This window comes from Homo sapiens, chromosome 10, assembly GCF_000001405.40.
Source record: "Homo sapiens chromosome 10, GRCh38.p14 Primary Assembly".
Lineage (NCBI taxonomy): Eukaryota > Metazoa > Chordata > Mammalia > Primates > Hominidae > Homo > Homo sapiens.
Window position 1 is genome coordinate 123,220,198 of NC_000010.11, and position 20,531 is coordinate 123,240,728.

Here is a 20,531-nt window from a genome sequence, read left to right on the forward strand (position 1 = left end):
GTGCCCGTCACTGCCATTTCCTAGTTGTATGCCCTCAAGGGCAAGTAACTTCTCCTCTGGGCCTCAATTTCCTCATCTGTAAACTGGGATAATTACATCCCTGCCTAATAAGGCTGCAGTGAGGCTAAAATGCCCTGATGGATATAAAGCATTTAACAGAGTGTCTGCTACATAAATATTAGCTATCATCATCATCATCGTCATCAAAAACAATCATATGTGAAAGTACTTGGTGGATTGTGGGGCTCTATACACATGGTAGTTGTAGAAAGGAGGTGTTCTGTTGAGAGACTCAGGGTGTCTTAATGCTGTGCATATTATTTAGTAACCAATCAGATGCATGTTCCCAGCCTTAGAAACTGTCACATGACAGTCTTAGGACTACCAAGGCATAGGACAGGCAGGGAGAAAGGAAAGACAATATCATCTACTTTGCTAACAACATACTTCCTTGGAGGAGAATGGGCTGAAGGGAACATGAAGTGTGTTATTAAATAAATTTTCAGTCATTTCTTCAGAAGGGTAAGGCATTCAGAGAAGGAAGGGCACCCTTGAAGATGGAAAACATTTATCATGAGGATGTCCAAACTTGATACTTGCCCTGCATAGATCTGAGCCCCCATCTCCCCAGTGTCCATCACACCTCAGGAGATACTTCTCAATGTCTAAGCGAGACACGGTGTCACTTTAACCCAATTCCACAGACCCTGTGGCCATAGCTCAGTTGCTTGAGAACAAACTAGGAGAAGCAGCTGCCAGCTGAAAGTTACAGGTTGCTTCCATTAACCCGCCAATGACTACACTTGACACAGAAGAATGGGTCTCAACCTCCCACGTCTGGTGATAGATTGAAGAAGTTCAATTTGCTTGAAGTTACACTTGGTGGGAACTTTATTACCACATCTGTCTTGACAATCTTCTGTTCTGTCTGCTTGCATGTTCCTGGAGAAGCTTTGAACTGCAGAGTCAAGTCTCTGCTTTCTTTGAGCTCCCGAATTCTCAGAGGTGACCAAGAAATGGCTATTCTCAGATTGGGGTGGTCTTATCCTGGCATTGATTGGAGAACTTCACAGGGTAATGTAGTGGGGTAGTCTCCTTAGTCACATGGCCTGTGGATTGGTCCCTCTCTCTGGGTTGACACTCTGAGGCCACATTTACCCTGACAAGCCAATTTAATGCATTCAGCTTGAATAGGGGTTCATTCAAATCAGGAGAACAATTTGTTTGTGAGTGGAGGGGGGCAGGGGGAGGGGTAGATTGAAAAATTGTTATTCCAATAATTTTTTCTTGGTTGCTAGTAAGAAAAACCCAATGCACACTGCAGTAAATAAAAATTTACTGGGATTGTGCATGTCTTTTGCAGCAACATGGATGGAACTGGAGGCCATTATCATTAGTGAATTGACTCAGAACTAGAAAGTCAAAAACCACATGTTCTCACTGATAGGTGGGACTTAATGGCCACACACAGGCATATAGAGGGGGATAGGAGACATGGAGACTCCAAAAGTTAGGAGGGTGGGAAGAGGGTAAGAGATGACATACTACCTATTGGGGACACCATGTGGGTGATGGGTACACTAAAAGCCCAGACTTTATCACTATGCAGTGTTTCCATGTAACACAAGTGCACTTGTACCTCCAAATCCATAAAAATAAAAGATTTTTTAAAACGAGATTATGTTATAACAACACAAAGGAATTGTAAGTAATTCAAAGATACTCAGTTACTGTGGGCCCTCATGTGGGAGAGGAAGCAGGATTGGAAAGGGCCACGTCCAGAGGCTGCCATCTTTTTCACTTTTCTCCCAGTCATACCTCATGGCTGAAGATGGCTCTCCTATAACCTGGAGAGTTTACATGTCTCCCTTCTAGCCAGTCTCAGGGACCAAGACAAATATACTCCAGCTTCAATTCTAACCTCCATCCCAAGGCCAATAATGTGGTCAGGGGTGGAGTTAAGTATGACTAACGAGGCTGCCGGGGTCTTTCCCCTTGGGTTGGGAGAAGTAGCTCTCACAGAAAGGGGCTTTTAGTGAGTTTGGTAGACACCTGTTTCAGTTATGTATTATTGTTTAGGAAACTAACCCAAAACTTAGTAGCTTAAAATGACTGCCAACTTTGTCATTTCTTATGATTCAGTGAGTTAAGAATTTGCACAGAGCATAGTGGGATTGGTTTGTCTCTGTTCCACTTGATGTCCATGGGGGCTGGAACAGCCACAATGTCTTTTTCACTCACTGTCTGTAGCTCAGCTAGAAGGTACCCAGGGCTGCAATAAGTCCTGGGTATGGGGCTTGTTGTCTCAAGGCATCTCTCTTCATAATAACCTCTCCATCTGGAGTCTCTAGCAGGGTAGCTCGACTTCTTATATGGTGGCACTAGGCTCCCAGGAGGTTAAAAGCAGCAGCTTTAAAACGTTCTGGAAGCTGAGGCCAAGAATTGGCATGGTATCACTTTCCCTGCATTTTATTGGTTAAAGCAGGTTGCAGTCTCAGTCCAGATTCAAGAGGAGGGAACTACACAAAGGCCTGAATATGAGGAGGTGTGGTTCATTGGGGATCACTAAGGTAGTAGATTACCCGTATAACTCAAGAGCTTCCACTACAGCAAATGATCAGGTTGACTTTATTTAATTAACTAGCTGAAGGTGAAGATGTACACGTATTAAATACAGCTAACTTCACTGACCATGGAGAAAAGCACTAATCTTCAGCCTTATCCTTAGTCCAGAAGGCAAATCCCCACCTCGAAATAAACTTGTGAAATGATACTGAGTTACTGAACGTTGATTCCTCCCTTATCTCGGTTAAGCCTTCACACCTTGTTGGTGGATTGTTTCCATTACTTCCTAAGTGGCCTGCCCCATTCCAGCATTTCTTTGTTGTAATCTGTCCTCTACCCTGCTTCCAGGCTAATCTTTCTAGAATGGTACTTTTATTGTGTCATTCTCCTGCCCTAAAACTTTCAATGATTTCCTTGTATCTACCAATGAAATCTAAAATTTTTTTTTTTTTTTTTTGAGACTCTCACTCTGTTGCCCAGGCTGGAGTGCAGTGGCATGATCTCAGCTCACTGCAAGCTCCGCCTCCCGGGTTCATGCCATTCTCCTGCCTCAGCCTCCCGAATAGCTGGGACTACAGGCGCCCGCCACCACGCCCGGCTAATTTTTGTATTTTTAGTAGAGACTGGGTTTCACTGTGTTAGCCAGGTCTCAATCTCCTGACCTCATGATCTGCCCACCTCGGCCTCCCAAAGTGCTGGGATTACAGGCGTGAGCCACTGCGCCTGGTCAAAATCTAAAGTCTTAACCTGGCTTTCTATGGTTTCTGTAGTCTGGTTCCGACCAACCATTCCAAAGTTATGGCCCATTGTGCTTAGACTCAAAATCAGTCTTCCAGCCACTGCAATTTTCTCTCTGGTCCTCATTCTGGCGCTACCCCTTTGCTCGCCCTGATCCCCTTACCTGGAATGTCCTTCCTCTCTCAGCTGCACCCTTATTAGCCCCTCTCACAAGGCTTTGCAGGTCCTTGTTTTCCCTGCCACTCCTGGCCACAAGGACCTCACCTTTTACAATCCCCTCAAGAGAACCCTGGATTTTAGCATAATTACAGTCATGCATCAATGACTGACCAGCTTCTCATAAGGTGATTTTAATGGAGCTGAAAAATTCAGCTATGACCTAGTGACATTGTAGTTGTTGTGAATGTCTAGCAGAATGCATTACTAAGGTGTTTATAGTCATGCTGGAATAAACAAACCTACTGCACTGCCAGTTATATGAAAGTCTAACATACACAATTATGTATAGTACATAGTACTTGATAATGATAATAAATGGCATTGTTACTGGTTTATTTACTATATTATACTTTTTATTGTTATTTTAGAGTATATTTCTTCTACTTATAAAAAAGCAGTTAACTGTAAAACTGCCTCAGGCAAGTCTTTCAGAAGGTATTTCAAAAAAAGGCATTGTCGTCATAGAGACGACAGCTCCATGCATGTTATTGCACCTGAATACCTTCAAGTGGGACAAGATGTGGAGGTGGAAGACAGTGATATTGATGATCCTGACCCTGTGCTGGCCTAGGCTGATGTGTGTGTTAGTGTCTTAGTTTTTGTTATTAATGTTTTTTAAGAGATGGTGTATTAGTCCGTTTTCACACAACTGACAAAGACAAACCCAAGACTGGGCAATTTATAAAGAAAAAGAATTTTAGTGGACTCACAGTTCCACGTGGCTGGGGAGGCCTCAAAATCATGGCGGAAGGCAAAAGGTACATCTTACATGGTGGCAGACAAGAGAAAATGAGAGCCAAGTGAAAGGGGTTTCTCCTTATAAAACCATCAGATCTCATGAGACTTGTTTACTACCACAAGAACAGTATGGGGGAAACCACCCCCATGATCCAATTATCTCCCACCAGGTCCCTCTCACAACACATAGGAATTATAGGAGCTACAATTCCAGATAAGATTTGGGTGGGGACACAGCCAAACCATATCATTCCATCCCTGGCCCCTCCCAAATCACATGTCCTCACATTTCAAAACTAATCATACGTTCCCAACAGTTCCCCAAAGTCTTAACTCATTTCAGCATTAACTCAGAAGTCCATAGTTCAAAGTCTCGTTTGAGACAAGGCAAGTCCTTTCTGCCTACGAGCCTGTAAAATCAAAAGCAAGTTAGTTACTTCCTAGATACAATGGGGGTACAGGCATTGGGTAAATACAGCTCCTCCAAATGGGAGAAATTGGCCAAGACAAAGGGGCTACTGGCCCCATGCAAGTCTGAAATCCAGCAGGGCAGTCAAATATTAAAGCTCCAAAATGATCTCCTTTGACTCCATGTCTCATATCCATATCATGCTGATGCAAGAGATGGGCTCCCACAGTCTTGGACAGCTCTGCCTCTGTGGCTTTGCAGGGTACAGCCTCTCTCCCGGCTGCTTTCACAGGCTGCCATTGAGTGTCTGTGGCTTTTCCAGGTGCACAGTGCAAGCTGTTGCTGGATCTACCATTCTGGGGTCTGGAGGACTGTGACCCTCTTCTCACAGCTCCACTAGGTGGTGCCCCAGTAGGGACTCTGTGTGGGGACTCTAACCCCACATTTCCCTTCTGCACTGCCCTAGCAGAGGTTCTCCATGAAAGCCCCGCCCCTGCAGCAAACTTCTGCCTGGACTTCCAGGACATCCGTTTCCATACATCCTCTGAAATCTAGGCAGAGGTTCCCTAACCTCAATTCTTGACTTCTGTGCACCTGCAGGCTCAACACCATGTGGAAGCTGCTAAGGCTTGGGGCTTGCATCCTCTGAAGCTATGGCCTGAGCTGTATCTTGGCCCCTTTTAGCCATGGCTAGAGTGGCTGGGACGCATGACACCAAGTCCCTAGGCTGCACACAACAGGGGGGCCTCGGGCCTGGCCCATGAAACCATATTTTCTTCCTAGGCCTCCAGGCCTGTGATGGGAGGGGCTGCCACAAAGGTCTCTGACATGCCCTGGAGACATTTTCTGCATTATTTTGGTGATTAACATTTGGCTCCTAGTTACTTATGCAAATTTCTGCAGCCAGCTTGAATTTCTCCTCAGAAAATGGTTTTTTCTTTTCTATTTCATCATCAGGCTGCACATTTTTCAAACTTTTATGCTCTGTTTTCCTTTTAAAACTGAATGCTTTTAACAGTACCCAAGTCACTTCTTGAATGCTTTGCTGCTTAGAAATTTCTTCCACCAGATTCCCTAAATCATCTCCCTCAAGTTCAAAGTTCTACAAATCTCCAGGGCAGGGGCAAAATGCCACCAGTCGCTTTGCTAAAACAGCAAGAGTCACCTTTACTCCAGTTCACAAGTTCCTCATCTCCATCTGAGACCACCTCAGCCTGGATTTCATTGTCCGTATCATTATCAGCATTTTGGTCAAAGCCTTTTAAGTCACTAGGAAGTTCCAAAGCTTCCCACATTTTCTTGTCTTCTTCTGAGCCCTCCAAATCATTCCAACCTCTGCCTGTTACCCAGCTCCAAAGTTGCTTCCATGTTTTCGGGTATCTTTACAGCAGCACCCACCTTACCAGTACCAATTTACTGTATTAGTCTGTTTTCACGCTGCTGATAAAGATATACGTGAAAATGGATACTTTATAAAGAAAAAGAAGTTTAATGGACTCACAGTTCCACTTGGCTGGGGAGGCCTCACAATTGTGGTGGAAGGCAAAAGCCACGTCTTACATGGCGGCAGACAAGAGATAATGAGACAGTTCTCTCTGTCACCCAGGCTGGAGTGCAGCAGCGTGATCATAGCTCACTGCAGCTGCAAACTCCTGGGCTCAAGGGATCCTCCTGCCTCCTGAGTAGCTGGGAGTAGAGGCCTATGCCACTAAGCCCAACTAATTAAAACAAAATTTTTTTAGAGACGGGGGTCTTGTTTTCCAGGCTGATCTTGAAATGGCCTCAAGTAATCCTTCCACCTCAGCCTCCCAAGTAACTGGGATTACAGGTGTGAGTCACTGCACCCTGCTCTGTCTTAGTTTTTAACAGCATATTTTTTACAAAGGAAAAAAAAAAGCCAGATGTGGTGGCTCATACCTGTAATCCCAGCACTTTTGGAGACCAAGGCAGGTAGATTGCTTGAGTCCTGGAGTTTGAGACCAGCCTGGGCAACATGATAAAACTCTGTCTCTACCAAAAATACAAAAAATTAGCGAGGCATGGTGGTGCACACCTGTATTCCCAGCTATTCGGGAGGCTGAGCTAGTGAGGATTAACCGAGCCTGTGAGGTTGAAGCTGCAGTGAGCTGTGATTGTGCCACTGAATTCCAGCCTGGGTGACAAAGTGAGATCCTGTCTCAAAACAAAAACAAAAACAAAAACAAGAAAAAAAGAAAAAAAATTAAAGTAGAAAAAAGCTTATAGAGTAATAATATAAAGGAAATATTTTTCTATAGCTGTACAATATGTTTGTATTTAAAGCTATGTTATTACAAAAATATCAAAGTTCTTAAAATAGAATTAAAACGTTTATAAAGTAAAAAGGTTACATAAGCTAAGATTAATTTATTATTGACGAAATAAAATAAAAATAAGTTTTTATAAATTTAGTGTAGCCTAAGTGTATGGTGTTTAAACATCTACAGTAGTGTACCATAATGTCCTAGGCCTTCACATGCACTCTTCACTCACTCACTGACACTCACTCAGAGCAACTTCCAGTCCTGCAAGCTCCAATCTTGGTCAGCGATCTATACATGTGTACCTTTTAAATATCTTTTATATGGTATTTTTACTGCACCTTTTCTATGTTTGAATATATTTATATGCACAAATACTTACCATTGTGCTATAATTGCCCACAGTATTCAGTACGGTAACATGCTGTACAGGTTTGTAGTGTAGGAGCACTAAGCACTAGTCTATCCCATATAGCCTAGGTGTGTAGTAGCACATCTAGGTTTGTGTAAGTTCACTCTGTGATGTTTGCACAGTGACACATTTCTCAGAATGTATCTCCATGGTTAAGCAAATCATGACTATATATTCACTTTGGGAGTTCAAAGGAATTTAGCAGGGATAATTGAGTCTGTAGGAATCCCTTCAGTGACAGAAGTGGATGGGTTATCTAGTTCTTAAACTTGTGAGTTGCAGAGTTGAACTAGCAGGGTTGAGTCTTAGCTTTGTCAGTTATTAGTCATTAGCCTTGGTTTTCCTCTTCTGAAATCGGTGATGATATCAGTACATACTTAGAAGATGAAATGAGTCTACACCTGTCAAGCCGGTACCAAAGAGCTTGGAAAAAAGTAAACACTTGAGGACAGGTCACTGTGTTCATCCCATTGTCACCTACTTCCAGCCTCTGCTTGAGAGATGGCTATCTCAGTTTTCCTGGATGCTCATTCCTTAGTTTGGTAGCCTGAAGTATTAGAAAGTTCTTCATTTATGGAGCTGCAATTTGTCTATTTCTACCTCAAAGTCATTGGTCCTTGTTTTGTCCTCTGATATGACACAAGAATCAGTAAAATCTCTTCTCTGTAAGATGGTTTCTCAAATATTGAAGGTGGTGCTATGGTGTGAATGTTTGTGTCCCCCCTAAAATTTATATGCTGAAGCCTAATACCCATTGTGCTTGTATTAAGAAGAGGGGCCTTTGGGAGGTGAGTAGGTCATGCATGGGCTTAATGCCCTTATAAACGAGACCTAGGGGAGCTTCTTTACCCAGTTCTACCATGTAAGGACACAGTGAGAAGGCGCCATCCGTAAGAAACAGGCCCTCATATAACACAGAATCTCCTAGCTCCTTAATCTTAGATTTCCCATCTTCCAGAACTGTGAGAAATAAATGTGTGTTATTTATAAACCACCAAGTTTATGGTATTTTTGTTATAGCAGCCTGACTAGACTAAGACAGGTGGCTATTATGTCCCCATGAAATCTCTTCTCTAGGTATAACTCTCTGTTTCCTGCCCTCATTCCTCAAATGCATGGTTTTGAGAGCCTTGGTCTTTGGTTTGAGTGAAACATTGGTTGGAACAATACCCTGCCACTCATTCCTTTGGAATTTAAAACTTATTGGTCTATCTTCAGCTGCCGATAGAACACATCAGCACACCAGGTACCCCTTGATGACAAGAATCTCTCCGTACCAAAAAAGGACAAAGTGTCAATTTTAGAATACAATGTAATGGACACACAGCCCATCTAATCCTCCGGGAATTCTAAATTCTACTTTTTCTATCATGTTTTACAGGTCATCAGAGAGCAACATGCCCAAATCACGTGAGCATATGCTCTTACAGGATGTTTTTTCTGAGTTATGTTGAAAATCCATTTCTCATTCTTTTCATATGAAAGCAGTGCTATCAAATCGTGTTTGCTGTTTTTATAAAGTCATTTGTGCCAACTCTGTCTTCTTTTTGTCCCTACAGTTCCCCTGGGAATCTGTCTGTGACTACGGAGACCTCACACCATGAGAAGGGACTATACCCCCTTGGCCCATGCACCTGTTAGGCTCCCTCACCTGACCATTAGAGAGCACCTTGACAGAGAGCTGTTAGGGGCTGCCCATCCTCTGTGTGTCTGATGATCAAAGTAAAGAACTCTAGTTTGTCTTAGTTTTTAAACTCCTTAAAGTTTTTCTAAGGGTAGCTTCAGGCAGAGGGAAAGGAAATGTTTTCATAGATCTGCTGGGCATTTGGGGATTTTGAATTTCTTTGGAATTCAGAGACCTTAGCATTTTGTGGTATCCCATCCCCTTTGGGTATCTTTATGTTATGCGGGTTCCCATTTGCTTTCCTCTGTGTAGCTAATTAAGCACTTCATGCATTAGTTGCATAGAGGCTAATTACGACAGATGATGTTTTAGCTATGGCACCTGTATGTAGAGCTCCCTGTAGACAAGATGGCCTGTTTGTTTTTGCAGAGACCAAACAATCTTAATTTTGAGAATACCAAAATGAAATGGAAGACATTTTTGCACACACAGTGAGGAAATAGTGGAAGACGCTGGCAATCCACAGCCAAGTCCAGTAGCCAAAGGGTTTCCAGAAGGACTCTGACATTTCTTCCTAAGGAACCCATTGGCTGTGGTCCTTTAGGAATTCTAAATGCCTTAACTGAAATATTTGTTAATATTATAGAAAAGAAGTATTAGTCCATTTTCACGCTGTGATAAAGACATACCTGAGACTGGGCAATTTACAAAATAAGGAGGTTTAATGGACTTACAGTTCCACATGGCTGGGGAGGCCTCACAATCATGGCAGAAGGCAAGGAGGAGAAAGTCACGTCTTACATAGATGGAGGCAGACAGAGAGCTTGTGTGGGAAACTTCCATTTTTAAAACCATCAGATCTCGTAAGACTTATTCACTATCACTATAACAGGATGGGAAACACCCACCCCCATAATATAATTACCTCCCACTGGGATGTGGGAATTGTGGGCGTTACAATTCAAGATGACATTTGGGTGGGGACACAGCCAAACCATATCAGAAATCCACAATTATTTTGATAGAGAAAAACTCTTTGATGCAGTGCAAAGGGTAGCCTTGGTAGGTGCCCCCCATCCAGCTCAGTCCCAGCCCCTTGTGAGCCCCCACCCTGCTCACTCTCCCCCTCCTCGAAGACTCATTTGTCACCATTGTGTGGGTGTCATGTTCGGTGATGAAGTGCATTCTCGCTCTTTGCCTTGGCAGCTGTGTGCAGGAACAGGCATGGCCACAGAGGTGAGAGGGAGGCTGGGCTTCTCATTGCTCAAGGCTCATGAATCATGTCAGGCGGGTTGGTAACCTGAACCCATCTCACCCCTTGCCACAGACCTCCATGACATTCCTTCCAACTTAATTTCAGCCTAAGGGATGCTTTTAAGAAGATTTTAGAGCACGAAAAGATCTCTTCAAAAGAATTGTAGTTGCATTAAAAAGTAATTATCAGAGCTTAGGGGTATAGATCTGCTGCCATATTTTACGTAGAGAGTAATTCATCTCCCAGACCCTGAAACATCATTACATAATAGGTTAAGGACACCAACCCAGGTGATACTGGGAAAAAGGTAGTAAAATCACCAAACCCCTGGAAATGATGAGCAATATGATTATGACAAAATAGCTCTGCCCTCCCGCTACAGCAGTTTCCAATATAACACAATTTAAAAATAGCACATCCTCAATGAGCCCATGCATAAAAGTGTGGGCAAATGCAGTTTATCTGGGACCCCCAGGCTAAATGTGATATTTATCTTTGAAAGACTTGGCCTTTTTGGCATAAAGAACCAGATATTATAATGAGAAAAAAGATGACATGTTTCCAAGTGTCCATGTCATATACAGCACTGTGCCAAGTATTCACATGTGTTATTTGAGTCTTACAGTAAACTAATAAAGGTGACTATTGCTATTTATTCCTATTCTACAGTTGAGGAGTCTGTGAGAATCAGAATGTTTTTGGTTGTAGATAACAGGAAACAACTCCAATTGGCTTAAACAAGAATGTATTGTTTCAAGTAACTCAAAGATCCAAAGTGAATGGTAGGCTTGAGTCAGAAAGTCAACAGTGATATCACAGACCCAGTTTCTTTTTGTGTCTCTGCTTTCTAGAAGTGCCACTTCATCCTTTCATGGTTCCAAGATGGCTGCCAGAAGCGCCCAGGACACCATGCTTCCTTGCTTACATCCAGTGAGATGTTTTTGTCCCAACATTTCTTTGAGTCCTTGTGATTGGATTAGCTTAGGTCACATGGTTATGGTGGAATCAGTGACATGGTCTGGGTGATGGAATGAGTTGATTGACTTAATTTAGATCACTTGTGCTACCCCTGGAGCTGATCGTTAGAGTCATTATTTGATATGGTTTGACTCTGTGTTCCCACCTAAATCTCATCTCAAATTGCAAACCCCACGTGTTGAGGGAGAGACCTGATGGTTGGTGATTGGATCATGTTGATGGTTTCCCCCATGCTGTTCTCAAAAGATCTGGTGGTCTTAAAAGTGTGGCACGTCCCGTCTCTCGCTCTTTCCTGCTGCAATGTAAGACACGCCTTGCTTCCCCTTTGCCTTCCTCCATGATTGTAAGTTTCCTGAGGCCTCCCCAGCCATGTGGAACTGTGAGTCAATTACATCTCCTTTCTTTATAAATTACCAAGTCTTGGGTAGTTTATTTAAGCAGTGTGAGAATGTACTAATACAGTGTTCTTCAATCCTTGAGGATCCCAAATGGAAGCCCAGGGAATGGTAGCTGGGGACAACCCCAGATGTTCACCGGGGACAGGGACATTAAGTAACTGGTCCATGATTCACACAGGTAATTAGTGACAGAGCCTGAATTTGAACCCAGATAGTCTTACTCAAGAGCCCTTTCTCTGACCTGTGGTCCTTCTAGATTCTCCGACTCTTAAAGTCTTGTAATAAATATCTTACACGTATATCTTATGGTTTCTTCACTAAGAATGTCACTCTGTACCTAAGTGATACTAACTTTTGGCAAACAATAATTCCAGAAAACCATAGAATGTATCATCTTATGGTGTGAAGTGGTAGTAAGGGCACTGGATTAAGAACTAAGACTTGGTCCCCTGTTAACCTTGGACATGTTTCTTACCTCCCAGAGCCTCTGTTTTCCTCATTGGCAAATGAAGGGTGATGACTCCCCTTACATACCTGGCTGTGTGGTTCTAGGGGTCAAGCAAGACAGTTTGAAGAGCCTGAAAAGCACTAAACGTTTATGAGCACATAAATTATTATCACTATACATAGGATTGTGATCTATTTTGTTCCAAATATGAGAACATAACACTTTTTTTGAATTTGTTAAATTTGTTAAATTTTCTTCATTTTTTTCTCTCTCTCTCTAGACTCTCTCTCTCTATGTATATATGTATATATACTGTCTCTCTCTGTCTATATATATATACTTGTACTGCTGAACTTAAACATATACATATACATACATACATATATATGTGTGTGTGTGTGTGTTTAAATTTAAGTTCAGGGGTACAAGTGCAGGTTAGTTACATAGGTAAACTTGTGTCATGGGGGTTTGTTGTACAGATTATTTCATTACCCAGGTATTAAGTCTAGTACCCATTAGTTATTTTTTCGAATCATCTCCTTCCTCCCACCCTCCACCCTTGGATAGGCCCAGTGTCTGTTGTTCCCCTCTATGTGTCCATGTGTTCTCATTATTTAGCTCCCACTTATAAGTGAGAACATACGGTATTTGGTTTTCTGTTCCTGTGTTAGTTTGTTAAGATTGATGGCCTCCAGCTCTATCCATGTCCCTGCAAAGGATATGATATTGGAGAACCTGACACTTAAAGGGCCTCTTTTAAGCCTCATGCACATACTTTAATTCAATAAAGGTTTTCATTGATAATAGCCTGTCACTATCACCCAAACAGAAAATTAGTGGATCTTCAGCTCCCTTCCCTTCCCTTCCCTTCCCTTCCCTTCCCTTCCCTTCCCTTCCCTTCCCTTCCCTTCCCTTCCCTTCCCTCCCCTCCCCTCCCCTCCCCTCCTTTCTCTCCCTCCCTTTCTTTTCTTTTCTTTCTTTCTTTCCTTTCCTTCTTTCTTTCTTTCTTTCTTTCTTTCTTTCTTTCTTTCTTTCTTTCTTTCTTTCCTTCCTTCCTTCCTTCCTTCCTTCTTTCTTTTTCTTTCTTTCTTTCTTTCTCTTTTTTTCTTTCTTTTCTTCTCCTTCCCTCCCTCCCAAAGTGCTAGGATTCCAGGTGTGAGCCCCACACTGGCCCTTCAGGTATGTTTCATAAAACCCATGCCAAGGTGGCAAGATGTGCATTCATAAGAGGCTCTTAGTTGCCTCTTGTTGAGGTGTGATGATTATGTACATAAATGTTATTCTACTTTTAATTAAACTATTGCCTCATTAAAATAGGAGGTAGATTTTGGGAGGCCGAGGTGGGCAGATCACGAGGTCAGGAGATCAAGACCATCCTGGCTAACAGGGTGAAACCCGTCTCTACTAAAAATACAAAAACAAAATTAGCTGGGTGTGGTGGCAGGCGCCTGTAGTCCCAGCTACTCGGGAGGCTGAGGCAGGAGAACGGTGTGAACCTGGGAGGTGGAGCTTGCAGTGAGCCGAGATCGCACCACTGCACTCCAGCTTGGGTGACAGAGCAAGACTCCGTCTCAAAAATAAATAAATAAATAAATAAATAATAAAATAAAATAAAATGAAGGGGGAAAATCCTGATCATCTCCATTTCAAGATACAATATACCTATAAGGTAGAAAAAAAGCATGTGGAAAGAGTAGGAATCAGATAGAATTTAGAGATGAGATCTCTGACCTCCCATACTCCCCACTAATCTGCCTTCTCTGAGGTGTCAGAATGAGTGGAGACAGGGAAATGAAGCCCATAATTTCAACAAAATGAAGGAGACATCTAAAGATTTGATATTCATTCTCAATAAATGGTTTCAAGGATAACTTGTGAGCTTTTAGTAGTCATGTGACCACCAGGCACAGACATGTGCACAGGCTACTGCATTTGTTGTTGTTTTTGATAGGGTGGCTACAGAGGTGAATCAGGCAGTGAGGTTAATTGTATCCTTCTTTCCTTGCTTGCTTTTTAAATTTTTTCGACAATTATTTATTGAGTGCCTACTACTGCCAGGCACTGTACTAGGTGCCAGAGATATGGCAGTAAACAAAACAGGTAACACCCTATGTCCTTTGGGAGGCTGCAGTCAAACGAAGGACTTTAGTATTGCATACCTCACTTACCTCACTTCAGTAAGGTGTTAGACCAGGCCTCCCTTGGAATCCCTGGAACAAGATGGAGACACCACAAGTTGATTTATGATCATATTGGAGGAGAGATGATTCATGGACTGGGTGGGTGAGGCCTCTGGAGGTGTGCCAAGGGCTCTGACCCATTTCATCTAGGGTATTGGATAAGAGCAATGTGCCCCAGCCATACCTAGCTTCACGCAGCTCCTTGAGGATACAAAGCTCCTCTCATCTCAGAGTTTTGCACACATTCTTTCCGCTGCCCGTACCATGACTTGCATCCCACTCATCTATGTGCCTTCCACTTGCCCAACTCCTGATTGTCCTTCAAATGTCAGGTTACATGTTACTTTCTCTGGCAAACTTCTCCTGAGCCCTCAGGTCTGTGTTAAGTGTCCCTGCTAAATGTCTGCCAGTGTTGTTTCAAAAGACCTGTCTTCAAGTTCAGAAATTCTTTTTTTTTTTTTTTTTTTCTGAGACAGAGTCTTGCTCTGTCGCCCAAGCTGGAGTGCAGTGGCGTGATCTCAGCTCGCTGCAAGCTGCACCTCCCAGGTTCACACCATTCTCCTGCCTCAGCCTCCCAAGTAGTTGGGACTACAAGGGCCCGCCACCACACCTGGCTAATTTTTTGTATTTTTTAGTAGATACAGGGTTTCACCCTGTTAGCCAGGATGGTCTTGGTCTCCTGACCTCATGATCTGCCCTCCTTGGCCTCCCAAGTGCTGGGATTATGGGCGTGAGCCACCACGCCCGGCCCAAGTTCAGAAATTGTTTCTTTTGCTTGATCTAGTCTGTTGTTGGAGCCCTCAGTTGTGTTTTTCATTTTGTTTATTAAATTCTTCAGCTCTAGGATTTTGGGTTTTTTTTTAATGACATCTATCTCTTTGTTGAATTTCTCATTCAAATCATGAATTGTTTTCCTGATTTTGTTGAATTGCCTATCTGTATTCTCTTGTATCTCACTGAGTTTCCTTAAGATTATTATTTTGAGTTCCTTTTCTGGCATTTGTATATTTCCTCATGATTGGAGTCTGTTACTGGAGAATTATTGTGTTCTTTTGGAGGTGTCATATTTTCTTGCTTTTTCCTGTTTGATGTGTTCCCACATTGATTTCTACATATCTGGTGGGACAGTCACCTCCTCTAATTTTATAGGGCAGGGAAAGACTTATTCATAGGCCTTGGGATGTCAGTATGGTGGGGTGTGTTGGTTATTCACAGGCCTTGGTTCTACGTGGATGCAGTAGTGTAGTCTCCATACGGTTTCTTAAGCTGTGATCCATGCTAGTGGCATTTGTGAGTATCTCAGGGGCCTAGGCTAAGAGAGTTTGTGGTGATCATGGTGCTGCTTTTCTGAGGGTGGACTCACCAGGCTGTTGCTCAGATTGGGGGCATGTACATGCACACAGTAGGTAGGCCAATTAGGGGTCTGGCTTGCTGAGACTGAGGACATGGAACTGTTACTCTGGCTGGGGACATGGGCGGGTGTGTAGTTGCTAGGCCAGCCTGGGGTGTGTTTGCTGGGGGGTGGCCTATGGGGCTGTTTCTTAGGCCCTGAGCATGGGTGTGTAGCTGCTTTTCCAGCCTGGTGGCATGTTAGCTTCTTGGTGGCTCAAGGACCTCTCCCTCTCAGGGGAGGGTTTGGCTGGCTCAAGGATGGGTTCACCCTGGCCAGGACTGCCAGACTGTTCCTCCAGCTGTAAGTACAGGCAGTGGGGGGTTGGTTTCCCCACTGAACAAGACCAGAGTCATAGCCGATCCTGGGCTCAGGTTCCACGCAGTTGAGGTAGTGGCATTCAGCCACTTGTGTGGGCTTCTGTGAATGAAGATGGAGCCCCAATGCTGAATAGGTGCAGTGGCTACTTATCCCCAGGGGAGGGCACACTTCAGAGTGGCTCTGGACTTAAGAGAGTGCTGTACTGCAGCAGCTTGGCTCACAGTGGGTGAGTGGGAGGTGGGGAGTGCACACTTTGTCCTCCAATCTGGAGTAATGCAGCTGCATTAATTCTTGGCAATGCTCCAAACTGTACTTAGGGCTTGCAAGGACTGTGGGATTCTCCTATAGTAAGGACTGCAGGTATTTGTGGTGGCAATGGGGGCTGGTGGGGTTCTTCTACTTACCTTTTCCCTGCAAAGGAAGTCCCTCCTGTCTCCGGGCTAATCTGATCCAGGTGCTGTTGGGAAGATGGGGCTGCATAGGCTAGGTTATTTCATGCTGCCCTCTTGGGGGTGGGAGGTGCAGTGAAGATGGAGTGCAGAGGCCAGGTGCCTCCATGCTGCCCTCCTGGGTTTCAATCACCACAGCATCTCTTTACTTCCCCGCTGCACTTCAGCACTCTCCCTTTGGCACTCTAGTCAAATCTTAGCTTTTATTCATTGCCTTGGTTTTTTCTTGTGGGGGTTTCAGGGGTGGGACAAGCACCAGGCATCTCTAATCAGCCATCTTGCTCCTCCCTTGTTTCTGAACCATTGTTCTCTGCTGGTTTTCTTCCTAGCTCTTTGGTCGTCCATCTCAGCCTCCTTCTCTCAGGAAGAGTGTCCATTGTCAATTGGTGTTTGTTGGTGGTCTCCTAAACATTAATTATCCTTTCTCCTCTCATCAGCTTTAATTTCCTGGAAGGATTCTTGTGGTTCAGGAGAAGCTGATACCACCCCATGTTCTGAGGGTGAAGCCTGGGGCCTGGGTTTGGCCAATCAGCACATTTCATGACCCTGGCCAGGGTAGCTGCTTCATAGGTGGGCATCCATTGAGCCAGTTCAAATGAAAGGAAGCACTGGACTTGTGCTGGGCCAGAGATTCTCCTTTTTTTGAGGAAGGGTGTAGCTCTGGGATCCATGTTTAAGATGAAGACTACATGGGCAGGGTGGTGTGTGCTTGTAATCCCAGACACTTGAGAGGCTGAGGTGGGAGGATTGCTTGAGGCCACTTGTTTGAGACCAGCCTGGGCAACATAGTGAGACTTCGTCTCAAAGTAAAAGAGAAAAAGATGAAGACTACACTCAGGAAAGCTAAGCAGAGAAATGGAAAGAAAATGGGTTCCTGCAGATGTGGCTACATCCTTGATCAATTCTTGGCCCAGTAAGAGATTATCTCCAGATCTCCAGACTTTCCAATTTCATAAATTTATTTTATTGTTTGGTAACAAGTAACTGTTGTGTTACTTGCAACCAAAAGCATCCTTACTGACCTACGTTTTCTTCCCATCCCTTGGGGGTTGCTGCTCTGCAGAGGGTTATCTTTGGCTCTTTTCTTCTCACTTCCATACTTGCCCTGGGCACTTTGGTTTTCTTCTATGACTTAACTTTCCTTTGTTTTCTCCAGCTCACGCATCTCTCTTGCATTCTCTATCTGTAGAACTGGATGCTTGCTGGACATTTCCACTTGGATGTCTGGGTAGCACCAAAATCCTGATATGTCCCAAGATGAGCAGAACTCATCTTCACCTTGTAAGCTGCTTTTCCTCTTGTCTTCTCTCTTTTGTTTGTTGATTAGCATTGCCATCATCCTGGTTTCTCTAGCTAAAGCCCGGGCAAGTTCTTGTCCTCTCCTTCTCTCTCACTTCTCCCCCTGCCCATGAACTTATTCACTCATTCTGGTTAATACTTTCCCCCTAGTTAACTCTCAAAAGGATCTGCCATTATCCATGGTCACTGCTATTGCTCTAGTCATAGCACCACCATACCAATATGAACCCTCTCAATACCCCTATCTCTAATCTTGCCCATCCACTCAAGAGCCAGAGGGATCCTTCCAAAGTAAGGTCCTTCCTTTGCTTAAAATCTTTAGTGACTCTTTATCATCCAGAGAATCAGCAACACTTCTCATAATGTGGCCCAGACCCAGCTCAGGGTTTCTTTCCCACTTTTCCTCCCATATCCTGGCTTTATTTACAATTCACGGTGTTATAAGCCATCCCTGCTCTCCACGACATTTGCACGTGGTTCTTTGCATGTGCTGTGTCCTTTTTCTGAAATGTCCTCCCTCACCTCCTTTCCTTTTATCTTCTTGGCTATCTTCTGTTTGACCTTCAGGACTCAGCTTAGGGGGCTACTTTCTTCTGGAGGCATCTACAGATCCCTGCCCCAAACTCATACCAGCTGATATCAGCTCAGACTGGTTTATAATGGTATGTGAGAGCCAATACTGGGCATCTCTTTCCAGCTCCAAGTTCAGTGATTTCACCTTGATAGCTTAAAATCAGAACGGTGGAAGTATTTACACCACCGAAATCTGCAAATGCTACAAATCAGGGTGTTTTTGTTTGTTGATTTGGTTTTTCCCAGAGAGGCAGTTTACCAGCACACCAGTGGGCATAATTGCCCGTTGATTTTCCCACTTCCTTCTTTAACTGGTAAGACCCTTCGGGGGCAGCCTCAGCAGCCCATCCACCCTCTGCCCCCAGTCTCTGCACAGTGCTTGATCTACAATATGATGCAGGAGTTCAGGATGATGTGGGCATGCCACCCTCCTCTTTCCTTACTAGTTTGCCACACAGAAACTAAAAGCTGGCATTTTCTTCCTCCAGATTCTGAAGACCTGGAAGTTATTTCTGAGAAAATATTATATTCTAACAGTCTGGAGTCTTTGGGTGTTCCCTGTGGTGGAATTTTATCTGTTGGTGCACTCCATTCCAATTGCCATTAACATGGTCCAATTTTCCAAAGGAGATATATTTCCATTCATTTTAATTTAGAGTAAACACTTTACCATCCTCAGGGATGTGCAGCTTGAGCAGAAACAAAGGGAGTTAACAGAAAGGATATTAATTAAACATCTACCCAGGATTGATGTTTTCTCAAGAGGCAGCATAATCTTATGGTTAGAACATAACCTTGGAAAATCGGTTTGTTTCTTTTTTTATGGCCAGGCCCCACCACTGACTTGAGTGATCATCTGAGTGGTGTGGACTCTCTTGCTTCTCAGAAATAACATCCGTCCTCCTGTGACTCCAATGACACTTTAAGGGGCAAACTTACCACCTAAAACGTGCTTAAATAATAAATTCAGCTTATTTGCTAAAATAATTTGAAATCTTGATTTAAAGACTCTCAAGACTCCCTTGGGAGGCTGAGATGGGTGGATCACCTGAGGTCAGGAGTTCGAGACCAGCCTGCCCAACATGGCGAAACCCTGTCTCTACTAAATATACAAAAAATTAGCTGGGCATGGTGGCAGGCACTTGCAATCCCAGTTACTTGGGAGGCTGAGGCAGGAGAATCGCTTGAACCCTTGAGGCGGAGATTGCAGTGAGCTGAGATCCCAGCCTGGAAGAGAAGAGCAAAACTCCATTAAAAAAAAAAAAAGGACTCTCAAGACTATAAATTGGATAGTTACCTATTTATTGAGCACATACTATGTGCCACATAGTACTAGGGGCAGCAGATTTAATTTAATAAGACATAATCTTTTCTCAAGGGAACTTGTGGTCTGGTCCGAGAGGCAACACACATAAGCATCTGCTATTTAAGAGAGTGGCAAGTGCTTATAAAGGAGCTCCCTGTAAATGAAGTTCAGGGAGGCTGTGGATGTTAATTCACTCAGCACATATTTGTTGAATGCCCCTCATGTACCAGGCTCAATGCTGGGCTCCAGGGATCTGGTGCTGGACTCACAGCTGAGAGAAGAGGCAGGGAAGTAAATAATTACAGAACAGACTGATCAATACTATAATAGAGGTACAGATTCAGTGCTCTGAGAAGTAACTATAGTAAGGTTCCTGGAAATCAAGGAAGGCCTCTCAAGGGAGGTGACCTTAGACTTCTGGTGTGAATAGATGTCTAGGAAAGGTGCTACCATAAAAACAACCACAGGAAAGAGAGAGGAGAGAAGAAAGAACCTTCTAAGTGAGTGAGCAGCAGTCCCAGAGTATGGAGGGAAGACTACATGTGTAATGTGGGAACTGTGCTGGCCTCGGGCGCAGGGGCTAAGCTGCCTAGAAGATGTTCTGATGGGCTCCTTTCCCCAGGATGCCTAGGAGGTACAGCCTTGGAAGCCCCCATGTTTCTGCGTCATCATCATCATCATCATCATCATCATCATCATCAAAGGCCAGAGAGAGGATCTCCAGGGGGATTTTGTGAATCCAAGTTCCACTGATCTCAACTGGAATAACTTTTGCTCTTGGTCCTTTGGATGGGCCACCTGGGATTTGTCTGGCTGTGTGTATCACCTGTGATTTTACACATCCATCAGTTAAATCAAAGATGCAGACACAAAGTCGAGAGCCAGGGCATGTTGGGTGGATTCATGACACTCTCTGGGGGACTCTGGGTACTTAAATGAATGAATGGATT

At 43.8% G+C, this 20,531-nt stretch overlaps 2 annotated features.

The window, feature by feature from the left end:
• Window positions 2,137-2,216: an enhancer, noted in NCBI's record as "active region_4152". NCBI's record gives its function as "activates an Ori minimal core promoter by ATAC-STARR-seq in GM12878 lymphoblastoid cells {active_cell/tissue: GM12878}" and the evidence as "EXISTENCE:reporter gene assay evidence [ECO:0000049][PMID:35858748]".
• Window positions 4,826-5,327: an enhancer, noted in NCBI's record as "H3K4me1 hESC enhancer chr10:124984539-124985040 (GRCh37/hg19 assembly coordinates)". NCBI's record gives its function as "activates a minimal SCP1, AML or CMV promoter by ChIP-STARR-seq in primed H9 embryonic stem cells {active_cell/tissue: H9 hESC(primed)}" and the evidence as "EXISTENCE:reporter gene assay evidence [ECO:0000049][PMID:30033119]".